The 17,069-nt window shown below is 45.6% G+C and overlaps 1 protein-coding gene and 1 long non-coding RNA gene across 7 annotated transcripts in view; one reads left to right on the top strand and one right to left on the bottom strand.

Annotated features, from left to right (window-relative positions):
* The window catches only part of NLRP1 (NLR family pyrin domain containing 1), an 83,114-nt gene that overhangs the window by 37,440 nt on the left and 28,605 nt on the right, over positions 1–17,069 (bottom strand). For all 5 annotated transcript variants that reach the window (NM_001033053.3, NM_033007.4, NM_033006.4 and 2 more), the window contains exons 5-7: positions 14,551–14,721; positions 3,022–3,192; positions 580–750 (exon numbers count right to left, since the gene is read on the bottom strand). In NM_001033053.3, coding sequence (NP_001028225.1) covers positions 580–750; positions 3,022–3,192; positions 14,551–14,721 — 513 coding nt within the window. The remainder of the gene's footprint in view (positions 1–579; positions 751–3,021; positions 3,193–14,550; positions 14,722–17,069) is intronic.
* Positions 5,195–15,763, top strand: LOC105371507 (uncharacterized). 2 transcript variants are annotated; one of them, XR_001752775.2, is made up of 4 exons: positions 5,217–5,254; positions 8,113–8,156; positions 15,166–15,308; positions 15,671–15,763. It is a non-coding gene; the product is annotated as an uncharacterized LOC105371507 (long non-coding RNA). The 2 variants fall into 2 exon arrangements; XR_007065589.1 differs by lacking the exon at positions 8,113–8,156 and having other exon boundaries at positions 5,195–5,254.

The raw sequence follows: 17,069 nt of genomic DNA on the forward strand, positions 1-17,069 counted from the left end.
CGACTCTCTTCCCAGCACTGTCCTTGTTTTTATTTTATTTGTTTAATTAATTAATTAATTTTTGAGACTGAGTCTCACTCTGTTGCCCAGGATGGAGTGCAGTGCTGTGATCTAAGCTCACTGCAACCTCTGCCTCCCAGGCTCAAGTGATTCTCCCTGCAAGTAGCTGGGATTACAGGTGCACACCACCATGCCCAGCTAGTTTTTATATTTTTAGTAGAGATGGGGTTTCAGCATGTTGGCCAGGCTGGTCTCTAACTCCTGACCTCAAGTGATCCACCCGCCTCGGCCTCCCAAAGTGCTGGGATTACAGGCGTGAGCCACCACGCCCTGCCTGTCCTTGTTTTTATATACATTTTATTTCATTACAATCCATGAAGTGGGTATGATACTCCCATTCCACAGATGAGGAAACAGAGTCCCAGAGAATTCAGCGACTTGTCCAAGTCACACAGTGTAAGTGGTAGAGCTGGTAAGAAACTTGGGTTGGCTATGCATTTATCAGTCCTTTTTCCATCCCCTGTCCGATACCCCCCCAACCCTCTTCCCTCTGCCCAGAAGGGACCCACAGGGCCTTACCCCAGGCGTATGAGTTTGCAGGCAGGATGCCTGAGCCCCTCACAGAGCAGTCGCACGCCAACGTCATCCAGGTTGTTCTGCTGCAGGTCTAGCTCCTTCAGGCTGGGGCTGGCACTAAGCACAGAGGCCAGGTCCTGGCAGCAGTCAGACGTGAGGCCACAGCTGACCAGCCTGCAGGAAAGATACACGCCAGCCCAGGTCATTGTCCTAAGGGCTCGCTCTTCAGGGTAACTAGGGTCTGATCTTCCTTCTCAGCATCTGTGGCCTTTTGAGGGTCTGGGATGACATGCAGAGAAGATACAAACTTTCCTGGCTTGCGGTAACCTGAGAGATTTTCACTTTCCTCTTGCAGCCACGGAACCCCTCAGGATGCCAGCACCTACCCTTTCTCAATCCTGTGTGATTCACACTGATCCAGTCCCCTCACTCTGTCCACATTGATGAGTAACTTACTCAATGTCCCACTTGTACACCTGGGTCTATCTGTTTTCTCTTTTTCTTTTTTCTTTTGAGACGAGTTCTCACTCTGTGTCCCAGGCCTCCCAAAGTACTGGGATTACAGGGGTGAGCCACCGTGCCCGGCCGGTAGGGCCTTTTTAGAGGGCAAAATTAGCAACATATCGTTTTCCCAGCAGTTCCATTTTTCGGAAGTTAAGCTACAGATAATATGCTGGGTCTCAGGACGCACTGGGGGATGTTAACTGCTGCCCTGTTTACAGCAAACACTGGAGACAATCTGGCTGCTCATAATAGGCGATGGATAAAAACATGATGGTAAGTCCATGTAGTGAAATTCCATGCTGTGATTAAAAAGAATGATGTGACTTTGTACGTACGGATGTGGGACCATCTCCAAGATATATTTTAACTGATAAAGCAAAGTGCAGGGCAGAGTTTGTGCTGTGCTACCATTTATGCCAGAAAAGGGCTATGTACCTGCTGTATGTTGTATATATGTAGGCTCTCTCTGGGGGTTCTCCTGTCTGGGGATCCTCTGCTCTTGGGGTCTCAGCCCTGCTTCTAGAACTGTTGGCTCTCCCAGCTGGGTCTGCTCAGACCCAGCTGCAGTCCAAGCTTGTAAATGTCACAAAGCATTCCAGGGCCTTCGCTAAGAGAGGGAACAGGGAGAATGGAAAACCAGGCTTTGAGGTCAGACCTGGCTTCAAATCCTGGTGCAGCTACTTCCTGGCTATGTGGCCTTGGGAAAATAATGAATCTCTCCGAGATCCAATCTTGTCTTCTGTAGATGTAGCGAGGATTAAATCTGACAAGTGTTACCGACTTCCTAGCCGACCAGGGATCGCCGACCCCTGATACTAGGAGAGGATCCTCGTTGTCTCCCCTTCCCATGCCCCCTTCCCATCAACTCTTGATCAGGATTACTGAATGGGGAAGCAGGCAATAGCCTTGGGAAGGGCAGAGGTTTGGCCTTGGGAAGAAGGAAGGGACGTGTGATGTGTGAACAAAGATCTCGCAAGGTGTAAACAAGGATATTTCAGGGCTTGGGCAGAAACAAAAGAAGACCCTGAAGGCAGCCCCCTGAGCGGGTGCACAGAGGGGTGTGTATAACTTTGTGCATCAAGGGAGGAGGCCCAGCAGGACCAGGGAGAGGTAACTATGCACTCTTGTTTCTTTTCTTTTCTTTTTTAAGAAGGAGTCTCGCTCTGTTGCCCAGGCTGGAGTGTAATGAGGTGATTTCAGCTCACTGCAATGCCTACCTTCTGTGTTCAAGCAATTCTCCTGCCTCAGGCTCCCTGAGTAGCTGGGATTACAGGTGCCCACCATCACGCCTGGCTACTTTGTGTAGTTTTAGTAGAGACAAGGTTTCACCATGTTGGCTAGGCTGGTCTGGAACTCCTGACCTCAAGTGATCTGCCTGCCTCGACCTCCCAAAGTGCTGGGATGACAGGCATGAGCCAGGGCGCCTCACTTGTTTCTACATGGTGGCGGGGGGGATGGCTCTGTCCCCTCGGATGAGATAGTAAATCGAACTAAGTGGACACCAGTGATTTCAGCTCTCCATGGCAGAACCCCATGCCAAGTAAGAGGACCTGTTACTAGGCAGATCACAGCTCGTGGGAACAGGAGAAGAATAGAAAAACACTGCTGCAATCCTCATAGCTCTATGAAGTGGGCACGATTATCATCATCCTCTGTGGTAGTCTGTGAAAATGGCCACAAATTCTGCCCCCTGTCCCCACCTTGCATTCACGTCCCTTGACTCGACTTGGCTTCTCTTGCTGTATTTGGAGCCTGGAGGCCCCCTCCCTCTGTCCAAGGGTGGATGAGCTTCCTCCTGAGCCTCTACTGCCTGGCTGAGATCCTGTAGGCTCCTCCCACTCCCACAAAGCAGGTCTCACCTTCTCTCTGCTCTTACCCTCTGCCTGCCTCATGGTGGCAGGCAGTTCCCTCCACCTCCCCCTGCCCACCAAGAACAATTACTGCAGTCGCTGTAGCTTGCAGCTCGGCTGTCTCAGTCTCTGGCAAAGGTGTTTGGCTCCAGCATCCGTGAGCACATTGAAGCTCAGGTCCAGCTCGGTCAGGGTCTGGTTGGCTCTCAGCCCAAAGGCAAGGTCCTTGCAGTCCTCAGCTGTGAGGCCACAGCCAGCCAACCTGTGGAAGACACACACCCATGGTCTTCAGGTTACTCACCTGTTGATTCAACAGACACCCATAAGCAACCATTAATCACCTACTATGCACCAGGCCTGTGGGCCAGGCAGAGGTCTAGAAAACCCTCCCAGGCCCCAGAAATGCACATGGTACTTGGGGATAGACATAGAAACACATAATAGTTAGTTTTTTGATCCTTTTTGATTAAAACCCTCCAATGTTTTCCCACATTACTCAGAATACAATTCACGGTCCTTTTCCTGGTCTACAGGGCTCTGGGGACTTGGATCCTCATCATCTCTGTCCTCATCTCTAATCTCTTTTAGGTCCATAGTCACTGCCCTTCTCTCTCTTCCTTCCTCACCCCAGGCACAGTTCCACCTAAGGTCTCTGCACCTGCTGCTTCTGCTGCTTCTTCTGCCTGGAACAATCTTCTGGTGCTGACACCTCATGGGGTGCTCCTCCACTTGCGTCAGGTCTTTGCTCAGAAGGAAGTCGCTTTGGTGACATCTTGCCTCGTCTCTCCACTTAAAATTGCACACCCATCCCCAGACTCCCTGCTCCTTTCTGCTTTACTTTTCTCTATAGCTCATGTCACTCACAATATATTTTACTTACTTATTTGGCTTCTTGTCCTCCCTCCCAACTAGAATGTAAGCTCCTTGAGGAAGGAATTTTGCCCATTTCCCTCCCTCCCTCCCTCCCTCTCCTTCCTTCCTTCCTTCCTTTCCTCTTTCTCCTTCCTTCCTCCCTCCCTCCCTCCTTTCTTTCTCTCTCCTTCCTCCCTCCCTCCTTCCCTCCCTCCCTTCCTTCTTTCTGTGAGATGGAGTCTCGCTCTTTCACCCAGGCTGGAGTGCAGTGGCGTGATCTCGGCTCACTGCAACCTCCGCGCCCTGGGTTCAAGTGATTCTCCTGCCTCAGCCTCCTGAGTAGCTGGGATTACAGGTGCCTGCCACCATGCCCGGCTAATTTTTGTATTTTTAGTAAAGACGGGGTTTCGCCATGTTGGCCAGGCTGGTCTTCAACCCCTGACCTCAGGTGATCCACCCACCTCAGCCTCCCAAAGTGTTAGGATTACAGGCGTGAGCCACCGTGCCCAGCCCCATTTTCATTACTAGTCATATCCCAGTGCCCAGAGCAGGGTCTAGCATACAGTAGGTGCTTAGTAAGTATGTAGTAAATAAATGAATGAAATAGCCTCAAAAGAGGGGCAAGTCAGGTGCAGCTGAAGGCAGAGGAATGAGTGATTGCCAAGGCAGGGTGGAAACGGTGAAACTTAAATGAGTGATTCACTGAGGTGAGGGCGGAGGCAGGGGCACGCGTGGCTGGTAGGGCAGATGTGAAATCACAGCACGCGGTTAGTATAGTGATGTTAGCGTAAAGGCTACCCAGGTAGAGAGAAAGTCTGAGGGTAAAGCTAGAAAATATCAAGATAGTAGTAGGTCTTGGATGTCATTATAAGATGTTTAGACCTATTTCCCTGTGGCAGTGATGAGCCCATGAAAGTTCCTGAGGCCAGCAGTGATGTGGTCTCTGCATTGCTTTAGAAAGATCCCTGAGGGAGGTTGTAGTGAGCTGAGATCATGCCACTGCACTCCAGCCTGGGTGACAGAGCAGGACTCCATCTCAAATAAAAAAAAAAAAAATGCAAGATCCCTGAGGAAGTGGAGGTGGCTGGGTGGGGAAAGGCAGGAGGCAAGGGGTCTGTGGGGGAGGATGAGCAACTGTCAGAGCAGCGACTTCGGGAGATGTTTGGAGCAGACCCTGTGGCACTCAGTGGAGTCCAGGGAGGCCTCAAGGTTGGATTCAGAGTAGAAGCTGCTGTCACTTACTGAGAAAGCAGATGTTAGAAGAGTGTCAGTTTCATTGGTGTACAACCAGGGTGGTTGCACAGGGCCCCGTGCTCAGAAGGACCCGGAACTGGCAGGGGTGTGAGAAGGACCCTTCTAGATTGGGGGGGTTAATGCTCTGTGGTGGCCATCTTGAATTTCTTAATAATTTTGTCTTTAAATTTGTGTTTTGTAGGTGAAGTCTGATGGGACCATGGAGCCTCAGCTCATAGGTGATGCCATCTCCTGCCACCTCCCTCCCTCCCTCTAGGGGAAATAGTTCTTGGTCATCCTGCATTTGAGTGTTGTGGGGCCCCCACTCAACCTCAGCCCAGTGATTATTGCCACGCTTTATCTCTGGTGGGGGCCTGGATCAGGCATGGGTAGGTTGGGGTGGGGCATCTTGGGGTAGGGCAGGTGGCAGCCTTTCTCGATTTGGGCTGGCAGCATCATGGCACATTTGGTGATTTGGTGGGGGCAAATCTCCCCCACCACTGATCTAGATACCTAATGCATCCTGGCAATACCCTGGAGGGTCTCCCATCTGCTTTAGGCTGGGGTGGTGGCCCATGGGAAGGAGACATGTCTGGCTTGACATTTTACCCACTCTGGGGCATGGTGCCTGGATCTGGTGACTTGTGGGAGAGGCACCCTGCATCTGGTGCACCATGTGCACATGCTGAGCTGTGGAGAGGCCTCCGAGCACCTTTGAGGGTCTGGACAAACACTGCTAGTGTCCCAGTGCCCAAGGGAATGCATTGTTAAATAGCAAATAAAATACACTGTGATAGGTTGAGAGAGAAACTATGGAAGAAAGAAAAAGCTCTGTATCGTAGTACCTTTAACAGCACTTTCATCCTGACTTTTGAGCTAGGACACTGCATTTTCATTTTGTATTGGGTCCTGAAAATGATGCAGTTGGTTCTGAGAGGAGGAACAGTTTGTTTTTAGTTAGGGAGGATAGTCTAGGTAAGAATAGGCTGAATTTCAGGAGCCTCTGGGACACCTCAGAGGAGGGTGTTGGGTTTGGGTCTGGAGCTGCAGATGCAGGGTTGGCAGACACTGTGGGAGCGGCCATCTGATATGATTATGGGAGCGGCTGTGTGTGAGGGGGAAGGAGGCTGAAGGTGGGGCCTGGTTATCCTTCTGGTTGGACTCAAATACCACTCTCCATCCTCTCCAAAAATCTCTGTCTTTCCTTGCTCTCATAAGACCTACTTTTCCCCTTTGTTTTTCTCTGGCTTCCTTCTGGACTTTCCTATCCAGCCAGGAATTTAAGGTCAGCTGCATTAAACACACATCCTGGCAAGGTGTGGTGACTCCTGCCTGTAATCCCCACACTTTTGGAGGCCGAGGTGGGAGGATGGCTCGTATCCAGGAGTTTGAGGCTGCATTGAGTCATGATCACACCACTGCACTCCAGCTTAGGTGACAGAGCGAAACCCCAATTCCCCCTGTCTCTCTTACACACAGACACACAGACACACACACACACACACACAGACACCCACACAGACACAGACACCCACACACAGACACACACGGATACACACACACATACACAGACATACACAGAGACACACACTTTGACACACAGACACACATACAGACACACACACAGACACACACACACAGACACACAGACACACACACACATACACACACAGACACAGACACAGACACACACACAGACACACACAGACACACACACACGACTCAGTATGTGGCATTGTAGAGCACTTGGATTTTAGAGTGCACCAGGCCCTCGGTAACGTCTCCCTGGACAATCACTGTCTTCCTTCTCTGCTTCCAACCCTGAGCTGCAGAGTGTGGCCCAAGAAAGTCCAGACGCAGCTGGCAGATGTGGCTCTGTGCTCACTGCCTGTGGCTGGCATCTCACAGCTGAGGGCCTACTTCCCAGATGGCTGTCTCCTGCCAGCCCACTCTCTCCCTGGGTGGTCGGTTCTACCCACCTGGCTTATCTGATTTCCTGCTTGTTGACAAGCTCATTTTCACTAGGCATGTTCCTGCCCCCAGGACTCATCTCAGCATAAACAAATGTGCCTCTCTTGGGGCTTTATTTATTTTTAAACAACTTACCATTACAAGCTGTGCTGTGTGGACTTCCCTCCTCCAATCCTACCCACTCCCAAGCCCCAGTGAAGACACTTGGTATTGGACCTCTGTGAGGAGGCTGAGGCCATCTGACCTTGGGCAGCAGTGACCCCAGTGGGCAGGTGAAGGGCACAGGCTTTGGGGCTAGACAGAGATGGATTCAAATCTTGCCTCTGTCAGTTACAAGTTGAAGACTATGGCAGATGTCTTTACCAAGTTTCAGTTCACTCATCAGTATCATGGATCTGCCATGTCTATTGTACCAGCTGGCTGCAAGATCCAAGGAGATCATGTATGCCATGTTCTTAGGGAAGCCCCTGGCAGAAGGTTAGTGCTTAAAGGATGCTGCTGCTGTGGAAACCAAAACCCTCAATGTCCCTCCACCTCTCCGTCCTCAGCTGCCTGTGTCATCACATAGTCCTTTCTCTTCTGTTCCAGAGGAGGCCAAGGGTCCACCCTCATGTGTCTTCGATTCCACACCCTCTGTCTGGTCTCTCCCCTGACCTTGCTCTTTCCGGCATTCCTTTTTTGAGCTCTCCAACCCCACTCCCGCCAATTTCTCCTTTGTCTGCGTAATGTGCTCAATTTTACAGGCCATTAGTGACAAAACCCCAGAATTCCTGACACCAGCTTATTCAATGCATTTCAAGATAAATCCAAAAGTGAAATAAGCCAGACATAGAAAGAAAAACACTACATGGTCTCACTTGTGGGTGAAATATTAAAAAAGCAAAATACATACAAAGAAAGAATAAATGGTGGTTATCAGGGGCGAGGAGGGGGAGGAAATGAGGAGATGTAGGTAAATAAAAAAAGAGAAATACAATAGTTAGGACTTTGCTTGCGGGTCTTGGGTAGTCTGGCATCCAAGCGTGTGTAAGGCTGTACACTCTTCCATATGGAGATGTTTTTATTGTGGGAAATATTCACATTTGCCTGATCCAGATTTTCTTTCTTTTTATGGTGCTACCCCCAGTGAGCCAGAATTAATCAGGCCCCGGCTTACCTGATACAGAGGAGGTAGGTGTTGGTGCTGGGTCTTGCCCTCACTGAGTTGTGTCCAGCTCTCCCACTGCTAACTATGTGAATTTGGCAAGTCGTTAATTTCTCTGAGCCTCTTAGGACAACTTAGGCACTAAATACATAGCATACATGACCCTAAATACACATCATACATGAACCTAAGTACATAGCATACATGGTCCTAAGTACATAGCATACATGACCCTAAATACATAGCATACATGACCCTAAGTACATAGCATACATGTCCTAAGTACACAGCATACATAACCCTAAATACATAGCACACATGACCCTAAGTACATAGCATACATGATCTCCTTTGACTTTGCAGCCACCTTGTGCAACAGACATGGTGAATCCATGTTATTAATGAGTAAACTGAAACTTGCTAAAGAAACCTACCCATAGTTTTCAATCTGTAACCGTTAGAGGCAAGATTTGAACCTGTGTGTGTCTGGCTCCAGGGAATGTCCTTCCCCAGCCCATTTCTTTATATATGGAAAATGGAAATAGTTGTCCCTGCTCTGCCATTTTTGCAGGGTGTTTTTTGGAAGGCCCAAGGAATTAACAGATATGGAGTTGTTTGGGTTTGAGATAGTGAAATTTTATGCCAATGTAAAAAGAGTACATTGAAGATTGGTGTCTTCCTACTGGGGTGTGAAGTTTGAGGTAGAACCAGGATTCCTTAGTCCTGCTCAAAAGCATTTTTACTGGACTCTGGTGGTTCTCCTTGGATAGGTCTTAGGAGTGGGTAGAGCAGCCTCATAAGGATACAGAAAGTCACAGCACGAGGCTGGGCTTGCCTCCTTACTCTGCCTGCTCAACTTCTCCCACTGTAACTCCTTTTTAATGAACAATCTCTTGATTGCTTTCCTTTCTTACAATCTCCTTTCTTTCAATCTCTTATCACTTTCTTTTCTTCAATTTCCTTGGAATGTAGGTTAGATTCCATGATCCTTCATTGGCAGTATCCTGAATTTCTTACCCTCTGACCTTCCATCACATTCCTCTGGCTAACCCTGAATTCTGCTATCTTTCCACTCTCCACCCAAACTCCCACCTGTGCAACAGGGTAGGTGGCTGCCATCTTGAATCATGACCACGACCCTCACATGGGCCACAGCAATGCCTGACTGGCAGAGATCTCACACTCTACTATGGCCATTTGAAGATCTTGCCTTTTCCAAACATCCAACACCTCAACCCTCACACTCACTCCTAGCAAACAACTCAATTCCTATTTCTCAGAGAAAAATGAAGCCATCAGATGGGAACCTCTCAGCTTCTCAGAGTGAAACCTATGTTCCTACCTCTCTCTTCCCTGTCCTCATCTCCCCTCCTGTTACAGTAAAGGAGACATTTCCTCCCTCTTCCAAGGCCAATCTTTCTCCTCCCTCCTCCCTCTGAGGATAGAGAGCCATCAATGACTCCTTCTCCTTCTTGTGTCTTTTATCACTCCTCCTCACTGATTCTCAAACTGAGATCTTTTCCTTCTTAAATGCAAGTAAGCAGATGGACAGACACACACATTTACTCAGCCCACCATCCCCTCTGCTTTAGTGCTTTCCTCCTTTTCACTATCAAAGTCTTTGAAGAAAGTATATTTGTGGTCTCATTTTTTACCTCCTTCTCCCTCTTTAATGCACTCCAGTCTGCATTCTCGCCTCTTCATGCCACATAAGGTACTTCTGCTGAGGTTATTCATGACTTTCCTATCACTAATCCAATGGACAAATTTCAGTCCTTATCTTGACCTCCCAGCAGCAGTAGTCCCTGCTGACCTCCTTGAGACCCTCTGCTCTGTTGGGTTCCATGACACCTCTCTCTCCTGGTGTCCCTTTCATCTATGTGGCCCCTCCTTCTCAGGCTTGTTTGTTGGCTCTTCTTTGGCCATTAAATACTGGGGTGGGGGTGTTCCCCAGGCTTGACATGCAATCTTATTTTTGCCCGTGAATTTTAGAATCAGCTTGTCCATTTCTGCAAAAATGGCAGCTGGGATTCTGCTAGGGATTGTGTTGAATCTATAGATCAGTTTGGGGGGTATTGTCATTTTAATAATATCAAGTCTTCCAATCTATGAACATGGGACATCTTTTCATTTGTTTAGGTCTTACATAATTTCTTTCAACCATTTTTTGTAGTTCTCTGTATACAAGTTTTCTTTTGTTAAATTTATTGTTTTCCTAATTTAATTTTTGGATTGTTCATTGCTAGTGTATAGCAGCACAACTAATTTTTGTATATTGATCTTGTTTCCTGAAACCTTGCTGAAATCATTAGTTTTTTTTTTTTTTCTTTTTCAACAGGGTCTCCCTTTGTCACCCAGGTTGGAGTGCAGTGGCACAATCTCAGCTCACTGCTACCTCTGCCTACCAGGCTGAAGCGATTCTCCCACCTCAGCCTCCTGAGTAGCTGGGACTGTGGGCGTGTGCCACCACGCCCGGCTAATATTTTGTAGTTTTGGTAGAGACAGGGTTTTGCCGTGTTGCCCTGGCTGGTCTTGAACTCCGGAACTCAAGCAATCCACCCACCTCAGCCTCCCAAAGTGCTGGGATTACAGGGCATGAGCCACCACACCTGGCCCTAATTTTAATATTTGTAGATTCCTTAGGATTTTCTACATACAATGTCATGTCACCTGCAAATAATAGTTTAATTACTTTCTTTTCAATCTGGAAGCTGTTAATTTCATTTTCTTGCTTAATTACTCTGGATGGAACCTTGAGTACAGTGTTGAATAGAAATGGCAAGAACAGACATCTTTGTCTTATTCCTAATCTTAGGGGGAAAGCACTCAGTCATCCACCATTAAGTATAATGTTAGCTGTGGGTTTTTTTACTGGTAACAACTTTATCAGGTTGATAAAGTTCCCTTTTATTTCTAGTTTGCTGAGTGTTTCCAATGTGAAAAGGTGTTGAGGGTTTGTCAAATGCTTTTTTTGTGTCTTTGAGATAATCATTGGTTTGTGTTCTTTATTCTATTAACATCTTGCATTACATTGATCAATTATCCTAGGTTAAACCCAATTTGCATTCTTGGGATAAATCCCATTTGGTCATGGTCTACAATCCTTTTTATATGTTGCCAGTATTTTGTTATGTAATTTTGCATATATATTCATAAAGGATGTTGGCCTGCAGATTTTTTTTTTTCTCTTGTGATGCTTTTGGTTATCTTAGTCTAATTTTGGTATCAGGGTAATATTGGTCTCATAGAACAAATTGGCACGTGTTCTCTTTTCTGCTATTTTTGGAAGAGTTTGAAAATATAAGTGTTAATTCTTCTTTAAATATTTGGTAGAATTCACTAGTAAAGCCATCTGGGCCTGGGCTTTGTTTCATAGAAAGTTTTTAACTTACTAATTCAATATCTCTATTTGTTATAAGTCTATTAAGATTTTGTATTTCTTATTAAGTCAGTTTAGGTATTCGTGTCTTTCTGGAAGTTGGCTCATTTCATCTGGGTTATCTAATTTGTTGGCTTACAATATTTCATAATATTCACTTATAATCCTTTTATTTCTGTAAGTTCAATTGTGATACCCCATCTTTTATTTCTGATTTTAGTAATCTGAATCTTCTTACATTTTAGTTAGTCTAGCTAAAAGGTGTCAAATTTTGTTGGTATTTTTAAAGAACTAACTTTTAGTTTCATTGGTTTTCTGTATTGTTTTCTATTCTCTGTTTCATTTATCTCTACTCTAGTCTTTATTATTTCTTTCCCCCTGCTTGCTTTTGGTTTTGTTTGCTTTTTAAAAAAATTTCTTTACTAACATGAAAGACCTAAGGAAAACAAATTCTTAAGGTGTAAGTTTAGGTTACTTATTTGAGATTTCTCTGCTTCTTCTTTTTCTTCTTCTTCAATAGACTTTATTTTTTAGAGTAGTTTTAGGTTCACAGTAAAATTGAGCAAAAAGTACAGCGAGTTCCCATATACTCCCTGTCCCCACATCCCTCATACAATCTTTCCCACTGCTGACATGCTGTACCACACTAGTATATTGTGGTGACATTTGTTACAATTGATAAACTGACATGGACACATCATCACCCAAAGTCCATAGTTTACATTAGGGGTCACTCTTGGTGGTGTACATTCTATGGATTTTGATTGCTGTAAAATAATATGTATGAACGATTACAGTATATAGAATAGTTTCACTGCCCTAAAACTCTACTGTGCTCTATTAATTCCTCCCTTCCCCCAAGCCCTGGAAACCACTAATCTTTTTTACTATCTCCTTGTTTTTGCCTCTTCCAGAATGTCATATAGTTGGAAGCATACAGCATGTAGCCTTTTTAGATTGGCTTCTTTTAGTAACATGCATTTAAAGTTTCTCCATATCTTTGTGTAGCTTGATAGCTTATTTCTTTTTAGCATTGAATAATAGTCCATTGTCTGTTTGTACCACAATTTATGAGTCCATTCACTTTCTGAAGGGCAGCTTGCTTCCAAGTTTTGGCAATGATGAACAAAGCTGCCATAAACATTCATGTGCAGGTTTTTGTGTGGACAGAGGTATTCAACTCATTTTGGTAAATATCAAGGAATGCGATTGCTGGATCCTATGGTAAAAGTATATTTTGTTTTGTAGAAAACTGCTAGACTGTATTCCAAAGGGGCTGTCTCATTTTGCATTCCCACCAACAATGAATGAGAGTTCCTGTTTTTCCACATCCTCGTCAGCATTTGGTGTTGTCAGTGTTTTGGATTTTGGCCATTCTGATAAGTATGTAGTGGTATCTTTTCTTTTTTTCATTAATTAAAAAAATTTTGAGTAATTTTTTTAGAGATAAGGTCTGTCTCTGTTGCCCAGCTTGAAGTGCAATGGCATAATCACAGCTCACTGCAGTGTTGAACTCCTGGGCTCAAGTGAGACTCCTGTCTCAGCCTCCTAAGTAGTTATGACAACAGGCACACATCATCATTCTCAACTAATTTTTTATTTTATGTTTTTGTAGAGACAGAGTCTCTCTATGTTGCCCAGGCTGGTCTCAAACTCCTGGCCTAAGGCAATTGTCCTGCCTTGGCCTTCCAAAGATTTGGGATTACAGGCATGGGCCATCATGTCTGGCTCTATCTTTCCTTTTTTTTTTTTTTTTTTTTTTTTTTTTTTTAAATAGAAGTATTTATAACTATAAACTTCCCTTTAAGCACTGCATTAGCTGCATCCAATACATTTTGGCATGTTGTGATTTTGTTTTCATCCCTCTCAAAGTGTTTTCTAATTTCCTTTGTGATTTCTTCTTTGACCCTTGGTTATTTAGGAGTGTGTTTTTAAATTTCAGTGTATTTATGAACTCCTCAACTTTCCTTCTATTGTTGATTTCTAATTTCATTTTATCATGGTCAGAGAATATACTTTGTATGATTTCAGTCCTTGCAGATTTGTTGAGATTTGTTTTATGGGGCGATCTTATCTTTGGATAGAGCTTTATTTGAAACCTATTTGGCAGGTCCAGTTGGATACCTTGAAAGGATCTTGAAACCAGCAAGCACGAGATCACACTCATGACATTCCACCCCCCAATCACTTTTCTTTTAGTATTCCCCATCTTGATGAAGATGCCACTATCCCATGAGTTGCTTTGGTCAGAAACCTAAAATCATCCTTGATATCTTCCTCTTCCTTTTTTTCCTAAATTCAATCCATTACTGAGCCCAGTTGATTTTACTTTTATAGCTCTCTTACATCTAGCCACTTTGTTCCATATCCATTGCCAATACCATAGTCCAAGCTATGACTATCTGTGACATTTAAAAGTACTATAATTTTCCTTAGTCCAAACTATTACCATCTTTGCAGGGACTACTGCAATTTTCTTACTAATTGGTTTCCCAGCCTCTACTTTTGCACTCTTCCAATCCATTTTTCATGTTGCAGCCAGTTTCTATTTTGAAAATGTACTGATCTTGTCAACCTTCTGCTTAAAATTCCACACCATCAGGAAAAGACCCAAATCCAACATGGTGCACAAGCCTGGCATAGTCTACTTCCTGTTGGTATCTGTAGCCTTATCTCAACCCTTTGCTATCTGCCCTCCAGCCACACTGGCCTGCTTTCAGTTTCTTGACTGCCTCCTCCTGCCTTCTCCACAGAGCCTTTGTACATGCTATTCTCTTTTCCTGGAACTTTTTCCTTCCTGCTTTGCTTAGTTAAATCCTCTGTATTCTTCAGACCTCCCTCAAACCTCACTTCATGAAGGAATTTTTTTTTTTTATGAGCAAAAAATCCTATCTGTGTTTGTTTACTAAAGTCATCCCGGCCAGAGAAGGCCTCAACGAATATTTGATAAATACAAAGACAAATCCCTCAGCCCAGACTCAGCTTCTGCCTTGGATCTCTTCCCCATCCCTGCTTCAGAACAGAACCCAGGCCAGACTCACCGCAGGGTCTCCAGGAGGCAGCGAGGGCGTCTCAGGGTCTTACAAAGACTCTTCACTGCAGAGTGGCTCAGCGAGTTTCCACTTAGGTCCAGCTCCTTCAGGTTTCTGGTGACCTTGAGGACGGAGAAGAGAATCTGCCAATAGGCATCTGTGACTGGGACCCACCTGAACCTGAGGGGGAGAGAGAAGGACAGGAGAGATGTGATGTGTCTGGCAGGGGTTTGAGGTGCCCAGCCCTGCACAACACAGTTGGGCTTTGTCCCCCTGAGCACCAGGCCACAGCGGGTAGTGCCATCTCCAGTACTGACCAGCCCTCCCTGCCTGTCTGCCCGTCACCCAGGGCTAGGTCCCTCTCCTCCATGTGGCTCCTCATTCTACAGCCCTTACCATAGCACACTGAAGTGTTCACCTTGTGTGTCTGTTTCTGCCTCAGTCTGGGAGTTCCTTGAGGGCAGGGACAGACATTTGTCTTTTTTTTTTTTTTTTTAAATCTGCACTGCTCAGCATAGGGCCTGGCCTCGGTGCTGAGCACTGCAGATAAGAAAAAAATTTTTTAAAAAAATTTGACAATTTTAATTTAAAAAAAATTTGACAGCCTTCCTCCCTTTGATGCAGACACACCTGTGTTCCTTTGGCACAGACATTCTGGAGTCCCAGTGCCCAGGAAAGAAGACGGGAGGCAGTAGCAGAGCCTGGGAGAGATGGCCTGAGGATGTTGTGATGGAAGACTGTATATGATCATATGCACTGCTGTCCAGGTTGGCTCACATGGGACCCTATCCCCTTCCCAGGATAACAAGAGGGTCTGCAGGAGAGGGATGGCTGTGGGGAGTGCCCTAGGAGAGAATATTTGCAGCCTGAGGGGAAGAGATGACGGGCTTTGTCTGAGGGTGTTAGAGTAGACTCCGACTCATGGAATTTCCACCCATTTAATCTGTTTTCACACACTACTTTAGTGACCTCATCTACCTCCAAGGCTTCAACTACTCAAATCTCTATTCCAAGTTTCAGACTGAGTTTTCTATTTTCTGGTTGGATATCCCCACCTTGACATCCCAGTAATTCTTTGATCTAATTTGTCCCAACAAGTCCCCAACCTGAATTCATCTTTTCCCCTAAGTCTGCAGAGCCATGTGGGGGCAAGAAGCAGAGGCAAGGAGCTGCCTGCATGTGGGCTCTGCTTCTCTATCCCTCACTCCGTCTCCTCCGCTGCAAAAAGAGGACAGCAATAGCACCTGCTGCAGAGGGGTATGTGAGAATTAAAAGCTACTAAAGAGTATCCCAAAAGTCCTAGAGCAGTTTTAAGTTTTAATAACTGTGAAAGTACAAGTACTACAAACATATAAAAAAAGCCAGCTGAGTGCAGTGGCTCTAGCCTGTAATCCCAGTACTTGAGGAGGTAGAGGCAGGAGGATCGATTGAGCCCAGGAGTTTAAGACCAGCCTGGGCAACATAGTAAGATCCTGTTTCTACAAAAAATAAAAAAAATTAGGCAATGTGGTGGTGTGCACCTGTAGTCCCAGCTACTCAGGAGGCTGAGGCAGGAGAATGGCTTGAACCTGGGAGGCCAAGGTTGCAGTGAGGTATGGTCATGCCACTGCACTATTCCTGGGAGACACAGTGAGATCCCATCACACACACACACACACACACACACACACACACACACACGAAAAAAAGCCATAAATGAAAGCTTACTTGAATTTCTTTTACACTTACTTAGTTTTGTGAAACTTGAAAAATACATTTTAAATTTTTTATTTCCGTTGGCATTTGCCATCCTTAATCAAGGTGACTGAAAAAAAATTAAAAATTTATACTTGAAAATGCACAATGCTTAATCACATGCCAAACACCTGGAAGCTCCCATCCTGTCATCTTCATTTCTTTAATATCTCTGGTTGGTTCTCCTCTTCCTTCACACAGCCCTTGGCCAACCTCCACCCTTTCTTCCTGAACTTTCTTGTTTTTTTTATAGTAGCTTCCTTATTCTTCTCTCTGCCTTGTCTAGCTGATTCAGTTCCTTGAAAATTTCTCCTCCCACTTGTGGCTGAAGCCTCTGACTTTCCCACGGCATTCTCTTAAGGCTCCACTTGCTCCCGCCCATCCCAAACTCTCCTCTCTGGCCTGGTGTTCTTGGTTCCCTTTGCCTATCCCAGCCCCCATCCCCCGGCCAGCCACCATCTGGTCTCTGCCTCTAGCTGCTTGGAACTCTTTGAAGATTTCCCACCTGTCCACTGCTACTTGCAGTACCTGTATCCAGGTCCTTTAAAGCCTACCTCACATTTATAACTATGAACAACTAGAAGCAGCTTAAAATGGCCAAGAACAGGAGAATGGTCAAATCAGCCATGGCACTTTCCCTATGGAATAGCATGTGGTCATTCAAAATGGTGTTGTATCAGACTACTTAAAAATATATAAAGGGCTGGCATGGTGGCTCATGCCTGTGATCCCAGCACTTTGGGAGGCTGAGGCAGAAGGATCATTTGAGGTCAGGAGTTCAAGACCAACCTGGC

The sequence above is a fragment of the Homo sapiens genome, chromosome 17 (genome assembly GCF_000001405.40).
Source record: "Homo sapiens chromosome 17, GRCh38.p14 Primary Assembly".
Taxonomy (NCBI): domain Eukaryota; kingdom Metazoa; phylum Chordata; class Mammalia; order Primates; family Hominidae; genus Homo; species Homo sapiens.